This window comes from Homo sapiens, chromosome Y (assembly GCF_000001405.40).
Source record: "Homo sapiens chromosome Y, GRCh38.p14 Primary Assembly".
Taxonomy (NCBI): Eukaryota; Metazoa; Chordata; class Mammalia; order Primates; family Hominidae; genus Homo; species Homo sapiens.
In genome coordinates this window covers 7,006,703-7,028,921 of record NC_000024.10, presented here as the reverse complement: position 1 = coordinate 7,028,921, position 22,219 = coordinate 7,006,703, and the positions used below count along the sequence as shown (strand labels likewise).

Below are 22,219 nucleotides of genomic sequence, written 5' to 3'. Positions count from 1 at the left end.
TTTGGGGGAGCTGCTCACTACAGCAGGTGCAGGCTGTGCACATTTCTAGGGGCTCGCTCCCTTGCTTCTCTGCTCCTGGGATGGTAACATGAGCTCACGGGAAAGGCACATGGTCACCATGTGATTCTTAAAAGCTGCCCAGATAGCACAAGTGACCAGGCAATGGATCCCGTAAGACAGAGGCCAATAGAGTCACCCGTCAATGCCAGACTGCTAAACTCATGCAAACACAACAAATTCCTTTTGGCACTAGAACTTGGTAATGCATAAGTCGTCTACTACTTAAAATTTTTGCCTAATTAGTTTCCTTTTTCTGACTGCCATGAGTGCGCTGCTTTGAGATGCCACCTATGGATAACATCCACGGAGTGCTTCTCATGGCAAAGGCCCTGCAGGGCAACAATGAAAATCCACTAATCCACACAGGTTAGGAAATATACATGGTTTGCTAAAAGCCAGATGACCTGACATCTGCCTGTTGTGGGCAGAGGAACAAAACAGATCCATTTTTGAGGCTCCTTCCTGAGTTTGAAGAGCTGTGTGTCTTGGGTCCTTCTTCAACACCCTACTCCCCTGCTATCTGAGCATATCAGTGCTCCACTGAAGATTCCCTTTCTTGCAGCCTAATGCATCCTAACTGACATCATGGATATTGGTAGAGGGGAGGAAGAGAGACACTGGTGGTGAAGGAGATGAACAGTTGGACAGGAATGGCATCTATTCTGCTGGGTCCAGGGCTCAGAAGCAGGACTCAGGCCACAAGCTCGGTGACTCTGGAGAACTTGTCCATCACTGCACCTGGAAGGTGAGGTTGAGGATTCTGAGCAGATCTTCCAGGGAACCCTGCCCAGCTGCACTGCAGGTCAACACCTACTCCCTTCCTCACCACCCCCACCCCCATACCCACTTCCTGCTGCACACAGGTAAGGATGGATGAGCAGGGAAGGAGGAATGCCAGTTGCAGTAAGATTACTGGATATGGGAACCCAGAACTTACTGAAGACTTCTAATGGAGAAAGTCAGACTAGAGGTATTTGAGGAATGAATCATTTTCTGAGGTGCAGAATCTGTTTTTAATGAGTTTGGTGGGGTGCAGGAATGACAGTACAGGTGCTTGAGGAGGGAACATGATCAAGGAAACATTTTCCTTTTTCTTTTTTCTTTTTTGAGATGAAGTGTCGTTCTGTCGCCCAGGCTGGAGTGCGGTGGCATGATCTTTTTGTTTGTTTGTTTGTTTTTTGAGACGGAGTGTCACACTGTCACCCAGGCTGGAGTGCAGTGGTGCGATCTCGGCTCACTGCAAGCTCTGCCTCCCGGGTTCATGCCATTCTCCTGCCTCAGCCTCTCGACTAGCTGGCACTTCAGGAGCGTGCCACCATGCCCGGCTAATTTTCTGCATTTTTAGTAGAGATGGGGTTTCACTGTGTTAGCCAGGATGGTCTTGACTCCTGACCTCCTGCTCTGCCTGCCTCGGCCTTCCAAAGTGCTGGAATTACAGGCGTGAGCCACTGCAATCGGCCTTCCTTTTTCTTTAAGGTAGAAGGGAAACATTGATAGGCTGAGGAGAAGGTGCTCTTTCTTGATTGCGGCTCAATAAATATTGACCTAACCAAAACTTCAGGACTTGAGGTAAACATAGAAAACATCCCAAGAATGAACACTTCTTTGCTCCCTTCTTCCTTTAAATACAACCTTGTGGAGTACTCCAAAAAGTTCCAGTGGCTGGGCGCAGTGGCTTACACCTATAATCCCAGCACCCTAGGAGGCCAAGGTGGGTGGATCATTGAAAACCAGGAGTTCCAGACCAACGTGGGCAACATAGTGAAACCCTGTCTCTACAAAAATTACAAAAATTAGCCGGGCACGTTGGTATGCCTGTAGTCTCAGCTACTTGGGAGGCTGAGGTGGAAGGACGGGCTTCAGCCTAGGAGGTTGAAGCTGCAGTGAGCGCCAGCCTGGGCAACAAACTGAGACCCCATTTCAAAAAAAGAAAGTACCACAATACACACAATAATTGGAAGAAAGTACAACAGTGTCTCTCTTCAATACCAACTCCACCTAAGGTATCTTACTTCAGCAACACTGTAGAATCAGGAAATGAAGCTCACAGATGTTACATAAAGTTGACATTTGCCAAGGTCTACGCGTTATTGTGCTCTAGCTCTCCATCTCAACTGCCTGGTTACAGAAGCTTCATAAACAAGCACTGAATAAGGAAGACGATCTTTCTGGGGAGAGTTGGTGGCTTCTGCCAAGAGGCCAGCAAAGCTCACACTTGGGGACCCTCGGGACCAGCAAGCAGCATGGCTCTGTCTCCGTGCACATGCACTTTTTACACCTGACAGCTCCAGCCTGGAACTTGTTTACATGCCGTGAGTCTCTTTGGCCTTCATCACGTCCTTGTGCAAAGGTGTTGCTAAATGCTAAACTACATGCCATGAGTGAACAGGGAGGCAGGTTTTGGTATGCATGATTTCCATTTGCAGCCACCTCTGGGAAGCTTTGAGCTCTGAGACAGGAGATCACCTGTGCTAGTCTAAGAGCCAAGGTTGAGGTATTAGCACAGGGGTTATTATTTCCCTGATTCCCAGGGGTGAGGCAGTACCTATTTTGTTTTGTATACCAATTGCTTATACTGCGTCTGACAAAAGCCAATCCAAGGTATCTGATATATATGCAGAAAGCGCATGCACTTCCCATGAATAATGGTAGCTGGGAGCACAAGGGACAGAAACCCAGGCTTGATGGGGAGGGCACTTATTTACAACATGTTACGTGCCTCACATACTTGATCACGTTTGCCTGGGCAGGAAAACCAAGGCTCAAATGAACAGGCCTCACTCAGACTTGTTTAACGATCACATCTTGAGCCATTCTGGGTGGCTCCAATGCCTATATTGTACCCTACACAGCAGTGAGAGAACCCATGCCCAAGGGACCACAGACTGGCTTCCTTCAAATTGAATACATACATCTCTGGGAGGGGGTGCCAAGGAACTGGGAGTTCCTTTTCAAATAATCAAGTTCCATACTGTATATTCAATCTGGTATTAAGGGGACAAACCTTAAAAAGACTCCAAAACAAATCCTGGTGTTTGAACTGTGCCCCCACCCCCACAAATTCACAGGTTAAAGTGCTCATCAACAGTGCACCTCAGAATGTGATGCTATTTGGAAACAGGGTCAGTGCAAATGTAACTATAACTGGATTCAGAATCAATTACTAAAATTAGGTTATCCTGGAGTAGAGTAAATTCCTAAACCAATCTGACTGTCTTTACCACAGGGAAATGTGGTCAAATCTGAACACAAGAGACGAGGGTGATGCCCCTACAAGCCAAGGAATCCAAGGACTGCGGCAAGGCCCCAGGAGCCAGGACGGGCACAGGAGACTCGCCCTCAGAAAGAGCTGACCTTCCCACATCTTGATCTTGGACTTCTGTCCTCAGGAACTAGGAGACAACGTATTTCCTTTTAAGCCATCCCAGTTTGCAGTATTGCATTATGGCAGTTCTAGGAAACAAATCCACTGGCTCTGTATATTGGTTAGGAAAACAGCTGTGTGTAGTAAACATGTAGAGATAACAAAGTCCACTAGGGTCATTATCGTTGAGGAAGGTGGGATGACATGGCTCCACAACCTTCTCTTCTCCCTGTTAGCACTGAGAACTTTCTTAGCTGTTCTTCTTCTACAGCCTGGTTTTGAATCAAGGGTTGATCATTCTGCTCGTAAGATGCTCAGGATGAATTTCCTCCCAACAGAAAACCAAGCCTCTTACCTGACTCCTGGAGATACCGATAAACCAGAAAGTTCACCTCGTCACTGGTTATGCTCATCTTAGCCTCACCTCATGGCGATGAGGTATTGATGAAGTTGGAACCACCCTCTGTTTGAAAAAAGAAGACAGTTTTGAAACACTGCCTGTGTGTTTCTCTTTTTTTTGTGTGTGAGGTGATTAAAGAAAATACTATCTATGCTATTATACACATGAAGGTAATTAATATATGATGCGTTATATTTTGTAATTATGTAATTACATAAACATTCCATAATTATACATAAGAAAAAAAAAAGACCAGGTGAAATGTTTTCCAAAAAAACAAGAGTTGACCTATTTCCTAAGGCCAGGGAAGGCTCAATTAGAAACCTAATTAAACTAATGAGCTTCTGCCCAGCAAAAGAAACTATCATCAGAGTGAACAGGCAACCTATAGAATGGGAAAAAAATTTTGCCATATATATGGGAAAAAAATTTTGCCATCTATCCATCTGACAAAGGGCTAATATCCAGACTCTACAAAGAACTTAAACTAATTTACAAGAAAAAACAACCCCATCAAAAAGTGGGTGAAGGATACGAACACAAACTTCTTGAAAGAAGACATTTATGCAGCCAACAACCATATGAAAAAAAGCTCATGATCAATGGTCATTAGAGAAATGTAAATCAAAACTGCAATGAGATACCATCTCACACCAGTTAGAATGGCAATCATTAAAAAGTCAGGAAACAGATGCTGGAGAAGATGTGGAGAAATAGGAATGCTTTTACATTGTTGGTGGGAGTGTAAATTAATTCAACCATTGTGTAAGACAGTGTGGTGATTCCTCAAGGATCTAGAACTAGAAATACCATTTGACCCAGCAATGCCATTACTGGGTATATACCAAAGGATTATAGATCACTCTACTATAAAGACACATGCACATGTATGTTATTGTAGCACCGTTCACAACAGCAAAGCCTTGGAACCAACGCAAATTCCCATCAATGATAGACTGGATAAAGAAAATGTGGCACATATAAACCATGAAATACTATGCAGCCATAAAGAAGGATGAGTTCATGTCCTTTGCAGGGATATGGATGAAGCTGGAAACTATCGTTCTCAGCAAACTAACACAAGAACAGAAAACCAAACACCACATGTTCTCACTTACAAGTGGGAGTTGAACAATGAGAACACATGGACACAGGGCAGGGAACATCACATGCTGGCACTGGGGTTTGGAGAGTGGGGAGGGAGAACATTAGGAAAAACAGCTAATGCATGCTGGGCTTAATACCAAAGTGATGGGTTGATAGGTGCAGCAAACCACCATGGCACATGTTTACCTGTGTAACAAATCTGCACATCCTGCATATGTACCCAAGTACTTAAAATAAAAATAAAAAGACATAAAAGGAAAAAAAAAACAGTGTGTTGCTCTAGGTCAGAGTCAGCAAACTGCAACCCAGTATCAATGTCTATAAATAAAGTTTTCTTGGCACTGAGCCATGTTCATTCATCTCCGTAGGGCCTTCATAATGCAATGGCAGAGTAAAGCAGCTGCAACTGCCTGGCCCACAAATCCTAAGCCCCTTACTATCAGGTCCATCACAGACCACGTTTGCTGAGCCTGCTCTCAGTCCTTCTCGATTTACAACAGATTTTCCCACCTCTACTTCAGAGAACAACTGCCTAGTCCCTTCTGGGTGTGGAATCTTCCTGCCTAAGAACCTCAATGGTGAACGCCCCTAATGTGAACATTCCTCATAATCTTACCAACCAGTTTAAGACTGAGAGTCAATAAAACACAATTACCCAGGTCTGTTATGGATGACTTTGAAAGGAGGACATGTGTTGAAACCACACACATCTCAAGGAAACAATTATAAGCCTTCACTTTCTAAGCCGCAGTGCCCAACACAGGCAGAAAGAGTATGTTAGACAAGTTATTCCCAGCCTTACTGATGAACAATAGCAACAGAGTGCCCTTTTTCAGGATAATCCCAAATTACCACCTGCATCTATAAACTGCATAAGGTATGAAAGGCCACAAAAACACTCAGTCATTTATAAGGCCAAACACAGACACCTCACGCACAGGAGAAATTCAGCACATACTAGATTGAATTAAACTGAAGCTTAGGTTCCCAAAGTACTGAAATTAATACCCAGTCAAAACACTGATGAGAGAAAGGACCCCCTCCCATCATCCCTCTCACATTTAGAATATGGTTCAATGGCATTTCAAAAAATATTGACTGACATAACAGCCACTTTGACCACTTTACATTTTGAGGAACATAACAATAGTTCCTCAGAATGTTCAACAGAGGTACCAAATGACCCAATTCTAAGTAGATACCACAAAGAAATGAAACGTAAGTCCCCACAAAAACTTGTATATGTGTATTCCTGACATCTTTTTCATAGTAGCCCAAAGGGAAATACAACCCCAATTTCCATCAACTGATGCATGGATAAAACATGTTCTATTCATGATCTAGCCACACAATGAGATATTATTCTAATGTAAAAAGGAATGACACATGCCACAATGCACATGAACCTTGAAAACATTATACTGAATGAAAGAGCCAATCAAAAAATTCAAATTCACTAATATATTACAAATTTTGTTTTTATTAACAAACAACACCTTTCAAATATTTAAGTCAAATAACACTCAAATACCTCTACATGTTTAACTTGTTATAACAATATACGTACATCTTGCTTTAAACAAAAGTACCTCAAACAGTAAGCTTCCTATTTTAGTTAAATTTAAGCCTACAGTTTAGTTCTAGTTGGTTCTTTCAAAACAGTAAAGCAAAAATCTCCCTCAAAATTCCATCCTTATGCTTTCAAGTTACCAAATTTCTATAGTTTTAAAAAAAAAAAAACTAAAAATGCCTTAGAGAAAGAAGCAGAAAATTAAGTAGCAACTAAGTAAAATAAAACTATAATCCTATGTACCAAAAGGTAATAGGATAACTTTAAAAGAACTTTTGGGGTGCAGGTCTTAGTTTTAGTTTGGGTATCGGTTTCAACTTTTGACACCTGGCCACATAGAACTGTTTGGTTTGCTAATCAGGAAACCTTAAGCGTCTCACCACATTTACACACAGTAATCTGCATGATTTTCTAATAAGTTTCACGGTTAACTAGCAAATCAACGCAGACAGACACAAATCATATTAAAAAACTAATGGAGCACAAAATGAAGACAAAGGAGTCAAATAAAATCTATACTCGTGTGCCCAATTACAATTAACAAGCCTGCATAATTATAATATTCACAAGAGAGGTTGATTTTAGAAGGTGTTATCCTCGACTGGTAAGACCCAGAAAAGTTTGTTATTGCTCATTCAGGATCCAAAATTCTCAGAAGGCAGTAAAAAGGCGAATTCCTCATTTAGAATTGACTTTGCAGCTCATAAGGATTTAATAATGGTTTCTCTAATGGCTTCAATTTCAGCAAGGACAAAGATGTGCCACTTTCCCCGAAAACATAATTTAAAAGAGAAGGGATTGCGTTTTGGCAAAATGCAGTTTTGCTCCTGAAATATGTTTCAGGTACAAGGACAAGGATCCAATGGCATGCTGGGCTGCTTACCTTTATGGTAACTTCATGTGTGGACCTCTGAACCAGCAGGCTTCTCAGCATCCAGTCATAGAAATGGCAAGCCGTCTGTGGGGACCAGCCTAGGGAGAAAGGGAAAGGTTTAGAACAAAAGACTTAAAAATCCTTAGGGTGTTTTTACCTCTCACCCCTCCCATTCTTTTAGGTTTCTTTTTCATCCTAACTCAAACTTAACACATCTTATTAGTTCTTAACTTCTGTGTTAGTCTAAAGCACAGATTGCAGGGTTTTGTTTGCAAACTAAAAAAAAAGGAGAAATTAAAATGACCAGTCAGGCATTATTATGCCTGTAGAAGTTCTGAAAGAAAAGTCTCAAAATAGATAATATTAGCTCAGCTATTGCTACTGCTATTATATAAATATTTAAATTAATTTTAAATTAAATTAAGTTTAAAGATAAATTAAGGTTCCTTGAACCTTATTCCCTTATTGTTGTTTTTGGAACAGTGCCTTATGCAACTGATACATGAACCTGTGCACACCACTGGGAGAAGATATCACACTGTAGCAAGATGTTTCCCATTGTTGGGGCTAGCTTTCCAGTAACCCCAGAGTGCATGTTGGTGCGCATATAACCATTCTTATATACTGTGCTCATAAAAACACAGAAACAGGTCAGAATCTTTTTCCTTCGGCTCCTCTAAAATAAAGGAAAACAAAGGCACCAACTGACATCTCAACTTCTCATGTACTGTTCTTAGACATTTTTATTTCACAAGGGTTCATTTGCACTGATTTTTCAGTAAGCCAGGTTTATATCTCATAAAGCAATCATCCTCTATATTAAAAATTGTTTTATTTTTTAGTCACTATAAATGCCAACCATTTAATGATATTTACCAGCTTTCTCATAAAATTTATTTGATTGTGAATGAATCCAGCCTCCTAGAGAGTTTTTGTTTTTCTTTTTGTTTTTGTTTTTGTTTTCCTTGAGACAGAGACTCACTCTGTCAACCAGGCTGGAGTGCAGTGACACTTTCTCAGCTTACTGCAACCTCCGCCTCCCAGGTTCAAGTGATTCTCCTGCCTCGCTTCCTGAGTAGCTGGGATTACAGGCAACCGCTGCCATGCCTGGCTAATTTTTGTATTTTTAGTAGAGACAGGGTTTCACCATATTGACCAGGGTCTCAAACTCCTAGGCTCAAGTGATCCACCCACCTCAGCGTCCCAAAGTGCTGGGATTATAGCCATGAGCCACTGCACCTGGCCACCCGCCTAGAGAGTTTAAATTACCCTCTATCAACTACAAATTCAAGAACTAAGAAAATTAAAGGCTCACCATTTTCTCTAAATAGTCTTAAGTGATAATAAAAAGGTACCAGGTTTAGTATACTTGAAGTCTACCAGCGAAGCTATGAGTGGTGTTTGTTATTAGTGAACTCATATGGAACCTCATGAAGTACTTTCAGGAACTGCAAGTAAATTATTCCCACTGGGTCATGTTTACAGTTATGATGTTTAAATAAAGGAGATTTAAAAAAAAGTTCTACAGTCAGGTTCACAGGACCATGAATTGCATTAGAGTACATTGAAAAACAAAAACAAAAACCAACCAAAAGTAATAACCAGGACAATTTGTAAAAAACCAACTACTTAAGTAAAGCAATGAGAGTGAAACTAAATTCATCTCTAACTCTTTGAACAGAAATGAAAGGGCACCAGAGAAGCAGGCACAATGGCAACTTAATTTTGTTTATAAAACAAAGATACTTTCACTTATGAAAAAAAAATCTGCAGTGGAGATGAAACAGGGCAATTCTCCTTAGAGTGAACTGGTAGAGACCAAATTACTATTTTCAGAATTAGGTTGTAAATTACCAGGGGGAAAAACAGCCTCATGACAAAATTGGTAAATAGCATGAAGTATCAAAATATGAGCAGATGTCATAAATTCCAAATTGCTTGTAAATTAAAACATTAAAACCCACAATAGTTCAAGAAGTAATTAATACACAAACAGCTCTTATTACAAGCTGTTCAGAAAAAAGCTTGGAATCCAATTCTTATTCTTTGGTCCAAAACAGATGGTAACCCACATAACAGGGTCCTGAAACTTTAGATTATCTTTTATATGTGTTGTTAAACTCATTAAGTGTAATTATCATCTGGGTGTCATCAACACCAAAAAGGAGAATTATGACTTTATTTAATAACATTCTTCTGGTTATGCAACATGTCAAAAATAATTTGTTTATAGCTAGAAACAATAAATTAAAATGAGAAATCAGACCTTCCAACACCTGTTCATTACTGATTTTCCCATTGTTATTATTATTACAAATTATTAGTACAGAAATTGAAACATTATTAAAAAACAGCCACAGCAAGAAAGTTTACATATGGCCAAATATTTGTTATGAAATGGAAATGATTTTAACAAATGCCGTATGCTCTTTATTTTTACAACTAAATGCTGATTATGTGACAAATACAAAAGAGATTTTAATGTTCCAGTAGTCCTCCCCTCTTGGCATGGTGTGCCGTGCATGTATAGTGACAGTCCCTCCACATTGAATGTGGAGAGGTTTTGAAGGGGCTCTCCAAGCTGATACAACACAGCATGTGCCTGCTTCTCCATAGAAAGTAGGTTAAGAATAGAGTTTGTGGTGCTACGTACATTTCTTCAAAAAACTGAATTAGATAAAATGCAAAGATTTAGAAACTATGATTCCACCAGGCCTGCTCCTCCCCAAAAGACTTCTCTTTTTCTTTCAGTCACACAAGCACACCTCACTAACAGACCCTGGGTGTTCCACTACTGAGTTCTTGCCAATGGTAGGTGAGAAGAGCTGGGAAAGGATGCATACAACTTGTGCTCATGGGGGTTGCTTGAGAGCCTGTCTGACCCTTAGGAAGGCAGGATAGTAACACAAAAGGAACCTTGATCCCCCGATGCTCTTGGGGATTTGACACCTACCCTTCTGGGACTATTGTCTGCCTTTGTACCAATACATGAGGGGTAAATGCATTTTGTTTAAATTACTGTATTTTGATGTTTAGTCTATTCCCCAAGTAGAATACAGAATCTCTGGGTGATGATCTCCATTTTCCAATGCTGTCCTGTGTTTCCTTCCATCACATCATTCATAACACACATAATACCTTTTCTACCCAAACAGGAGGAAGAGTCCTGTCTTCCTCAAGTTCCATTTCTACAATCTAGGCTTGACACATAACACATACTTGATAAAAGTTAGCTTAATGAATGAAGGATGTACTATATATAATCAATGAGAATATTTCACTAGCTGATCACAAATGTTAATACGTAGATTTCAGAAGCCCTCTACCACATTCATTTCTTCATGAGGTTTGCCATACTTTTATTGTGAAAAATCAGAAGAAAATGCAACATTTTCATGTGGATATTAGAATTCAGAAAGTTTCCTCTGGAGTTATTTTACTGTCATCTTTAAAGATGTTCTTGGGGGAAGCACAGAAATTTCAAGATATAGTTTTAAAGAAAAGGACACAGAACAGTCTGCTGCTGTTTTCCTATGTTTTCTAATTCTATACCTTCAAGTGCAAGCAATGTATCAGTCCGCTGGTGTCTGTATTTGTGAGTAGGCAGTCTTTGTATATTTCCTTGAACTGGTGCATCACCAACACTGTCATTTCACTGGTCGTTGTGTCTGGAAATAGACCTAGGCATATGCGAGCCAGCCACATGCAGTTCATTTTCCACCTTTTAATTCTTCACACAATTATTGCTTCATAGAGCTGAAAAGTTACAAAGGTCTAGCCAAATGTTGTCCAAACTCAATAGCACCCTCAGCTACATTTCATCCTATATGCAAATCAGCTGGTTTCTTCCTATTCAACTATAAAGACTACACATCACTTTTCAATCATGCTTTGTGAATTTCTCTGCAGATCTGCAAACCACCATAAGGGATTTTTAAATTGAATACAAGAAATAACGGTCTAAAGCACTGAGAGACTCTTGTTTTTAATACTATGTTTTCAAATTTAGAAAGGGGCATTCCTCGAAAGCAGTCATTTTGAGAAACTATATTCTTTTTGTATCAGGAAAAAATTAGCAACTTTAAAGACTCCCCTTTTGACGCAGCCTTCAGAGCCCATTCATATAAGAAAAACCAGAACAGCACACCATAGGCCCAATATAGACATTCCCTTGGACATTCACCTACATGGTTTTTGTTGTTGTTGTTTTCAGCTGGGGTAAAAATAACTTAATGTAAATTTAACCATTTTATTATTTTTCTTTTAAAAAATTTTATTGTTTTTAAAAAACAGAGATGGGGTCTCACTATATTGCCCAGGTTGGTCTCGAACTCCAGGCTTAGTAGTCAGGAGACCACCTCCCCACCTGGCTAATTTTTTGTATTTTTAGTAGAGACTGGTTTTCACCATGTTAGTCAGAATGGTCTCGATCTCCTGACCTGGTGATCCACCCACCTCGGCTTCCCAAAGTGCTGGGATGACAGGCTGAGTCACCATACCAGGCCCAGGGCTTCACTCTTTTTATAGCTGAATACTATGCCACTGTGTGGCTGGACCGCACTGTGTTTCTCCAGGCAGCAGCTGACAGCCACCTGGCTTGGGTCAACCATGCTACTATGAGCATTCGAGTCCTTGGGGCAACTGGCTAGCAGTGGAATTTCCTGGCATCGTTCTGCTTTATCCTTCTTTACCTGAGTCTCCTCCTCCCCAAGAATGAAAGGTGCACAGAATGGGCAGAGGGAGGCCAAGCTGGAGCAACCAGAACCTGGGAAAAGGAGCAGATGGCCTAGTGCCAGCAGGCAGGGTGGCCAACAAACGGGATGGACACACAAGGAGGAGCCAGGAGCCTGCCTGCCTAAGAGCCATAGCCAGCAGTGACTGCATACCGGAGTACTGCTTGGCAAACACTGACAAACTCACGCTGTGTGCAGGGCTGCATCTGCTCACTACCTGGCTGCCACTGCACACTGAGCATTCCTCTACATTGGTCAAATCCTTACTAAGCATTTGCCCCATGACAACAAAGGATGCACCATTTTCTGCTTGGAGCAAACAGTTACTTTCCCACTCAGAAGCATATGTGTTACACATGCAATCCTAAATAAAAGCATGGGATTGGCATCACATTTCTGTATTTTACTACAGTGTTCTGGAACAGGATTGACAGTGCCCGCTGTTGCCCCCTCCCCACATCCCCCGCCATCTCCCAGGGGATATTAGGCAATGTCTGGAGATATTTTGGGGTTTCACAACTGGAAGTGGAGGTACTACTGGCATCTCTTGATAAAACAGAATCAAATTTGTATGATAAAATCCCTTTGGGTGCTCACGGCGAGGCCAGTACAGTACAACACTGAGGCCCCCCGCCTACAGCCATACCAACTCAGCAGCCACAGGAGGGAGGTGCCAGGACACAGCCCCTCCTGCCCCCATCCCACCTTAGGTGGGCGGACATCTTGCCTGCAGCCTCGAAAGACCCTACACTGGAATCACTCAGCTAACTGAGGCCAGCACCACCAGCTTTCAGAATCTAACAGCTTGTCACAGGCAGGTGGGAAACATACCTAGGCAAGCAGCCTTCTCAGCCAGCACCTCATCAAATGGGGGTAATGATTTGCAGGGTTGTTGTTAGGAAAAATGAGAACCAAATGAACTTGGAAGCCAATCAACTGGAGATTGATTAAGTAGGAGAGTGTTTGCCAAGGCATGCTCTTCAGAGCGACATTTCTCAGGCTGTTCAGTAGTTTAGCATGTGTCATCTGAAAAATGGCTCCACACTTCAAAACCATTGGCAACAGTGGGTTAAATAAAGTTATTCAAAAATAATAATAGGTTGGGCACAGTGGTTGATGCTTGTAATTGCAGCACTTTGGGAGGCTGAGGTGGGAGGATGGCTTGAGGCCAGGAGTTCAGGTTCAGCTGGGGCAATGTAGCAAAACCTCGTCTCTGTTAAATTATGATATTAACTAACACATATATATCACCTGTTACATGCCTGGCTGTCTTCTGAGTGCTGGGAGCTTATTTAATCCACCTAATAAATAATTTTAAATATTTCACATGCTTATTCTTTGCTGCCACATCCCAGGGCATAGCAACCAACATGTGCACATGTGTACAATGAATGCTCAGTCAGTCCTCATGATTTCCTCACAGCTCCGGGTAGTGGGAAGCATGTATTCTGTGAACCCCTCCATCCTGTCTTACTGCTGATTCATTTGTCCAGGTGTCTGAGTGCCCATGCAGATGACGATACTCCATGCTCAACATGCTAGGGTTTGCCAAACTCTTCCAGGTTTCTCTATGAAAGACATCTCCATATGCTGAAATTCTAAAGACACTTTTCTAACTGACTCTGAATACCCTGGTCACTAAACATCCTAATAAGCTGAGATTTTATTGTTAGAAGACTCTGCGTTCTCTAATGTGCATTTTTTAAAGACTCTGCAAGCCTGAAATCTAAAGGTGACAGTACTTGACTAAAATGAATGCAAGTGTGCCAAGACGGTAAAGACTTATAAAAGTACATGGTACTTTTAATATCATAATAGTGTCAAAAAGCAGGGCAGTTCTGCATGAGCCTTACCCATTGGGAATCAAAATCAGGCCAACATCCTCATTTCTCTTTCTCCTCAACAAACTATGAGAAAATGGGTATGGGGAGGTGAAAAGTCACAATGCATTCATTATTTCCTCGTATGTTACCATCTCAACTTTTTTTAAAATTCACTTCTGGAATACTGTTTATCTAGACCAGTAATTTTTTGCCACTGTAGTACTTCTCAGGAGCACATCTGTTTCTTAAGAGTCACCCACCCCTTCCCTTTGACTGTTATAATCATGACAAATAAAACATGTTTTGTATTATTTTTTAATAATCAATAACTATTTTACAAACAAATTCTAAAGGCCTAAACTTTAATGTTCTTTAAAAATAAGCATACCTGCCATAAGTGAACTAGAAAACTATAACCAAGAAAAAACCTAAAAATATTTTTCGCTCAAAAACATTCTGCTTGGTTAAATGATAAAAATTGCTGTCCTCTGTTTTACTAACAAGCATTGCTATAAAGAAACACCTGAGACTGGGTAATTTATTAAAAAAAAAAGAAAAAAAAGAGGATTAATTTGCTGAAGGCTTTGCAGGCTGTAAGGAAGCATAACACCTTCTGCTTCTGGGGAGGACTCACGAAACAACCATGGTGGAAGGTGAAGGGAAACCAGGCACATTCACATGGGAAAAGCAGGAGGGAAAGAGAGAGGAAGAAAAGTGCTACACACTTTTAAACGACCAAATCTCATCAGAACTCACTCACTATACAGTACCACCAGAGATGTTGCTAAACTATGAGAAGTTACTCCCATGATCCAATCACTACCCACCAGGCCCTACCTCCAAAACTGTGGATTACAATTCAACGTGAGATTTGGACAGGGACACAGATTTAAATCATATCATTACACACCTGGCCCCTCACTTTTCACATTTTAACATACAATTATGCCTTCCCAATAGTCTTCCAAAGTCAACTCATTACAGCATTAACTCAAAGTGTCATCTGAGACAAGGCAAGTTCCTTCTGCCTATAAGCCTGTAAAATCAAAACCAAATTAGTTACTTCCTAGATAAAATGGGAATATAGGCATTAGGTTATATTCTATCCTGTTCTAAAAGAGAGAAATTGGCCAAAAGAAAGGGGCTACAGGCCCCATGCAAGTCCAAAACCCAGCAAGGCAATCATTAGATTTTAAGGAGATTCTCCAAGAATCTCCTTTGACTCCCTGTCTCACATCCTGGGTGCAGTGGCACAAGAAGTGGGCTACCAAGGCCATGGGGAGCTCCACCCCTGTCTCTGCAAGGTATAGACCCTGCAGTTGCTCTCACCATCTGGTGTTGAATGCCTACCATACTGGGGTCTGGAGGATGGTGGACCTCTTCTCATAGCTTGTTGGGAATAAGAACTTGGAGTCGCAAAGAAAACAAGCACTTAGACAAAGAACGTCTCAGCAAGGAAAATTTACTTCTGCACAAGGGTGCAACTCATGTATGGAGCAATGGCAAAAGCATACAGACCAAAGGAAAGCAGGGGTTTTATTATCTCTAATGCAGCTTGTGCTTCTGTGTCTTTCCCCTATTGGCTAGGGTTGGACCACACAGTCTAAACTAGTCCCAACTGGCTAAATATTTAAACATTCTTAGATAAGGTAAGGGAGGTGAGAAGAGAGAGAAGGAAGGTCAATTACGGAGGGACTAGGAAGGTAACCTATTCTCTACTAAGGAAAGGCATGCAGGCTGGGGTTGTAGCAAGTTCAGGCATGGCTAGGCATATTCAGACAAATTGGGGCACAGGAAAGGCAAGGGGTTATTTGGAATTATAGGATAGAGAATGGGGAAGCTGGATAAGCTGTTTGAAGAGGGAACATAACTGTATCTAACACAGCTCCACTAGGCAGTGCTCCAGTGAGGACTCCATATCAGGGCGCCAATCCCACCTTTGCCCTTTGCAATGCCCTAGCAAACGTTCTCCATGATGGTTCTGGTCCTGCATCAGGCTTCTGTCTGGACATCCAGGCTTTTTCTGTATATCTTCTGAATCTAGGCAGAGGCTACCAAGCTTCAACTCTTGTACTCTATGCACCTGCAGGCTTAACACCATGTAGAAGACACAGGCTTACAGCCTGCAGCCTCTGAAGCAGTGTCTTAAGCTGTACCGGGGCCATCTGAGCGAAGGGTGCAGCTAGAGTCAGAGACAGAGCAGCTGGAATGCAGGAAGCAGCGTACTGAGGTTGTGTAGGACAGCAAGGCCTTGGGCCTGGTCCAGGGAATCATTTTTCCCTCCTAGGATTCGGTACGTAATAGGAGGGGCTGTCATGAAGCTATCTGAAATGCTTTCAGGAGCTCCATGTTGAGTGCTCTTTTCATTTTAGACCAAGCAATTCACAATTCACACTAATTTGTATTGGAGTCGGTAGTAACCTACTTCTGCACAATGAGAATAAACAGAAATTAGACAACTGAAACACAACTAGTGTAGAAGCCTTATGAACAATTTGCATATACACAATGTACCCATCACCAATCATTGCAAGCTCTTCATTTTATTAATCTTTAATACTTTTAATTGGTCTGAAATTTATGCAGTTACTTGGACTGTACCTATTAATAGAATTTTCCCCATTGCCTTGGTTATCAGCCCTTGCTGTCCTTTTATTCAAATTTCTGCAGCATGTTTGAATTCCTCCCCAGAAAATAGGCTTTTCTTTTTTATCACGTCATAGCTGCAAATTTTCCAAACTTTTACATGCTCTTTCCCTTTTAAATATAAGTTCCAGTTTCAAGTAGATTATTTTTGCTCACGCATATGAGCATAGCCTTTTAGAAGCAGGCCACATCTTGCATGCTTTGCTGCTTACAAATGTTTTCCACCAGATACTCTAAATCATCACTCTTAAGTTCAAAGTTCCACAGATCCCTAGGGCAGAAGCACAATGCCACATCCCAACCTCCTTGCTGATGCATAACAAAAGTGACCTTTACTCCAGGTCCCAGTAAGTTCCTCATCTCCATCTGAGACCTCCTCAGCCTTACCCTCACTATCTATGTCATCATATTTAACTCCAACTGGAAACCACTGGCAATCCGTAATCAGGTAGGTGTGTTTATGTAAACAGATGTGTGTGTGTTCTAAGAAAACTATCTGCAAAAACAACCTGCAGGCCAGCTGGCCTATGTGCAGTAGTTTGCTGATCCCTGCCTTGGAGCTAACTCATATTCAGCTGCGCACTCGTAATGCATTACTAAATTAGAATAGATAACCTACTGATATCATCAATGTGACTTCAGACAACTAACATACAGAGGTGCTTTATCCCAGAAGCAGCACACATGTGTACTTGGTTACTTAGAATGGCCACACTGAAAGAGCCGCAAGTGCATGAGGGCAACATCAGGCTGGCTTTTGGTTCCTGGGATGCTTCCATAGCTGCTGCCAGCTGTCGTTGGGACAGTCATGCAACATCACTTTTTGTTAAGGTGGTGCTTTCAGAATACAAGTGCAAAAGCCCTCATAAAAACAACCAACTGTTCAGTATGTAAAATTAGGCAGAGTAATCTTGTTGGTTTAAAAATGACGTCTGTAATTTTTTAGGTTGCTATTAAAGTTAGAGAAGTAATGCAGTTTCACTGGGGAAATTTTAGGTGGTTCTCAATTGGGGTCATGTTGCCCCCCAGGGGGACAGTGGGCAATGTCTGGAGACACTTTTGGTGGTCATTATATGGTATGGATGTTGCTGGCATCCAGGAAGGAATGCCCAGAGATGGTGCTGGACCTCCCCTGGTGAACAGGACGGTCCCACCACAGAGAGTTCTCCAGCCCTACATGTCTACAGTGCCACAGTTAAGAAAACTTGATGTAAAAGTAAAACATTAAAAGTCTTCTAACTCTTTGCAAGTCCTCTTAGTCTTAATGCACAGGCAGCCTCTGTTCCAAGCTTCTTCCACAAGTTCTGTACAGTGTATTCTTAGTTTTAACACAAACATAACATCCTAACTATAATATTTTAATTGGGTCATGAGAACTACATAGTGACTGTTTTCTTTTTTTCTTTTTTTTTTTGAGACACAGTGTTACCCTGTTACCCAGGCTGGAGTGTGAAGTGGCGCAATCTCTGCTCACTGCAACCGTCTGGGCTCAAGTGAATCTCCTGCCCCAGCCTCCTGAGTAGCTGGGATTACAGGCACCCACCATCACTCCAGGCTAATTTTTGTGTTATTAGCAGAGGCGGGGTTTCACCATGTTGGCCAGACTGGTCTTGAATTCCTGACCTCAACTGATTCACCTGCCTCAGCTCCCAAAGGGCTGGGATTATAAGCATGAGCCACCATGCCCAGCCATATCAACTGTTTCCATGCTATAATTCTTGAACAGCAAGGATGGTTATGCCTCATCTGTACTCAATAATTTTTTCACATTCTCATTTGTCAAGAAAGTGTTTATTACGTCCATTAAATAAATTAACCATCACATCAGTCCCATTTGTTTTCATTTTGTAGACAAAAGGCTGCTTTCTTAAGAGTGTAAGTGAACAATGTAGACTGGTTTCACAGCTAACAAGTGGTAGAATGTGAACTCCAAGTTCTGGCTTCATTTTGAGTGCTTTCATCATTTTAGACCAAAGCAATTCACAGTTTAAACTAATTTAGATTGAAGCAGGACAACAAGAATAAAAAGAAATTGGGAAATTGAAACACAATTATTGGGGAAGTCTTGGAAACATGGACATAATTTGCATATACACAATGCAATGACAAATATGGACATAATGGACATTTGAACATAATTTGCATATACACAATGTACCCATCACATATCACTCTAAGCCCTTCATTTTGTTAATCTTTAGCTCTTTTAGATGGTCTGAAATTTATGGAGTCTCTTGGACTATACCTTCAAACCCCCATGTTCCATTAATTTTAGGATTTTCTTTCTGTTGTTGGTTTTTTTTTTTTTTTTTGAGACTGGAGTTTTGCTCTTGTTGCCCAGGCTGGAGTGCAATGGCACAAACTCAGATCACCGCAACCTCCACTTTCCAGGTTCCAGCCATTCTCCTGCCTCAGCCTCCCAAGTAGCTAGGATTACAGGCATGCACCACCATGCCTAATTTTATATTTTCAGTAGAAACAGGGTTTCTGCATGTTGGTCAGGTTGGCCTCAAACTCCTGACCTCAGGCGATCCGCCCACCTCAGCCTCCCAAAGTGCTGGGATTACAGAAATGAGCTACCGTGCCCAGCCAATTTTAGGATTTTCTAAGATACTTCCTTTCCTATAGTAAGCCTATGGTGTTTACAAAATTGTAGCTGGAACAAGAGTGAGTTATCACAGCGTTCTGCTTTTCACTCATGTATGCATGTTTCCCATTATGTAAAATTTAGACTCATACATTCTCAGATCAACACTTAGTATCTTATTTATAGGTAAGAAGACCAAGTTTCATGGAGACCAAGTAGGTCAGTCATTTCTCTCACCAAGAAAGCAACAGAGTACATGGTTGGAGGAGTAAATGAATTTCACTTTTTACCTATAGAATTCAGTTAATTTTCCTCTCACGTAATTCCCAGATACCCTAATACCTGTTAAAATCTGTTCTGTATTGGTGGCTCCTGACTTTGATATGTAAAAGCTTCCCTAGTTGCATTACAACTGCTGGAAACTTGCAAAACCACTAGCAACTATTCTTAATATAAATGACTGTAAATCATAGTTAAACACATACAGTGCTTTTTAAATTGTGGAACCTTACATCAGGCCTAATTTTGTGTAACCACAACTGCTGATTAGGAATATTTTTCAATTCATAAAATAAGCATGTCCATGCTTGTAAGAATTCTGATTCCTCAGTGGCCTTTCTTGTTATGCAACACAGATAATTAGAATAGATTTCAGGTGTGGGTGACACGTGATCCCCTAAAAACCAGGGCTTGGGAAGAAAGGCAGTTTGGCTCTCTCTGATACAATGGCTAAACAGTGAGGTTTTCTTTTATCTGGCTTTTATTTGCCTGAATAGCAACGACGCTGTTTTATGCTCATGGGCCATGGGCACAAAAAGGCAGTTTAGAGCATGAAATCACTGGGAAAGCAAACACTTCAGACATTTCCTTGAAGCAAAACCAAGAAATCTATTGTTTCATTAAAAACCACTTCCACCATGATGAAACACTTGGATGTAAACTCTGTGAGATGGGCAGGTATTATTGACCTCGCTAAACTAACAGAACAGGCCATGGAAGGACAGTGCACTGCATGAGGTGACAGCCAGTGCAGGGCCTCACATTAACTCTGTCAAACAGACTTCTCTGTCTACTAATCAGAAAGGACTACCAAATCTCGAAACAGAAAAAGAGCTCACCATTAAAAAAATTTCCAATAGTCAAATATTTGTGCTGACTGGCGATCAGAATTTCCCAACTACTAAGGGCTCTGGCTCTGATTGTCCCCTTTGACTTCAGAGTCTGGGCGTGGAATGCTGAGGTCACAAAAAACATACGGAATCAATTCTTACCAGATCAGGAATATGTATGTCCAAGTATGTCATGGTACAAAGACAAACATGCAGAATGTGTGTCATGCTTCATGTTACATGAGTTTAATCTTCACTAACACCCTGATCTCCACTGCATCACCGTCCCTAGATATCTCAAAGACAAGCTGACCTCTGGATACAATGGCAAGGGAGGTTGGAATCCAAGAATGATCCCAGGTGGTCTGACCCTAAGTTCCATCAGCTTCCTGTTATACCACATGACCTATCTTAAAATAAAAAATAAGAACAAAAAGCCCAACTCCTTCTTCTACTAGTTTGCATTTTCCTTTCTTACCTATATCTTGTTTGCACATCTCAACCACACTCTACTCATACCCAGTGTGAGTCATCTTTCTCTCCTCTAGATTCCAGCATGGCCTTGTTTTCCAGAAATTACACTCTAACAATCCAAGCAAACTCTGAGAAGCAGCATGATCTTGGAGTGAGGCTGTCCTTGGCTAAATCCCAGAATTTCTTGCTGACAATTATGGGTCCCCTAGTCAATAACTCAACCTCTCTGTGCCACTAAGCGAGCACAGTGCTGTACAATTACACTGCATGAATTCACATATTCAAATATAGGTAAAGCCATAAATGTAGACTTGTAAAAAACAATATAATCACACAGTGGGAATAACTGCACACACTGCTCACTGGAATACTGGTGTGTTTCCTTTGCTCTATTAATATTCTCAGACCTTAAACACAAACATAGGCCAGGCGCAGTGACTCACGCATATAATTCCAGCACGCTGGGACACTGAGGCAGATGGATCACTTAAGCCCAGGAGCTCAAGACCAGCCTGGACAACACAGGGAAACCCCATCTCTACAAAAAATACCAAAAATTAGTCAGGCATGGTGGTGTGGCCCTGTGGTCCCAGCTACTTGGGAGACTGAGGCAGGAAGGTCACTTGAATCTGGAAGGGAGATTGCAGTGAGCCAACATTACACCACTGCACTCCAGCCAGGGCAACAGAGTGAGACCCTCTCTGAAAACACACACACACATACGGACACAAACACACAGAAATACACTTTTGGTGTATTTTTTATCACAATTAAACAAATGCAAATTTTAAAACCACAATGAACGTGCAAACATTTTAATCAGTGGCTCCCAAAAGGATGAATTTAAGCTATTTATTTAAAAGGAACCTAAAATAGTCATATAAGTAAATGTATAAAATGAGTGAAACTGTCATTTCAAATGGAACATAATATTTATCTGTAGCCTTCTTAAATGGAAACAGATTACTTGGTTCTCAAAAGTAATTTTTAAAATGAGTTAGTGTGTTTGAGAAAGAAAAAATAAAAAGGTCAGATGAAAAAAAGAATTCAGATTAGACTGAGCTCTAGCAGATGTTAAAATTCTTAAAGTTTCTTTTGTTTATAAAGAGAACATTAAAATGTTAGCAGCTTTCATATTTAAGTAGCACTGTTCTTGTCATATTTAATTATATGCATCCCTTTTTTAACAACATCTTCATGTCATATTTCCCAAATCCCACCTTTCTCTTTTCTAGTGTTCCCACTTTACCAGTCTAATAGGAAACAAGCTGCTTCTTCATGCAAATACAATTAAAACACAATTTCAAAAGAGCATTTTTTCATGTTTTTTTTTGGCTGCATAAATGTCTTCTTTTGAGAAGTGTCTGTTCATATCCTTTGCCCACTTTTTGATGGGGTTGTTTGTTTTTTTCTTGTAAATTGGTTTGAGTTCATTGTAGATTCTGGATATTAGCCCTTTGTCAGATGAGTAG

The 22,219-nt window shown here is 41.0% G+C and overlaps 1 protein-coding gene across 3 annotated transcripts in view; it reads right to left on the bottom strand.

The window, feature by feature from the left end:
* The window catches only part of TBL1Y (transducin beta like 1 Y-linked), a 180,987-nt gene that overhangs the window by 62,762 nt on the left and 96,006 nt on the right, over positions 1-22,219 (bottom strand). For all 3 annotated transcript variants that reach the window (NM_033284.2, NM_134259.2, NM_134258.2), the window contains 2 exons: positions 7,385-7,473; positions 3,780-3,887 (listed from right to left, as the gene is read on the bottom strand). In NM_033284.2, the coding sequence (NP_150600.1) occupies positions 3,780-3,837 (58 nt within the window). In that variant the 5' untranslated portion in view covers positions 3,838-3,887; positions 7,385-7,473. The remainder of the gene's footprint in view (positions 1-3,779; positions 3,888-7,384; positions 7,474-22,219) is intronic.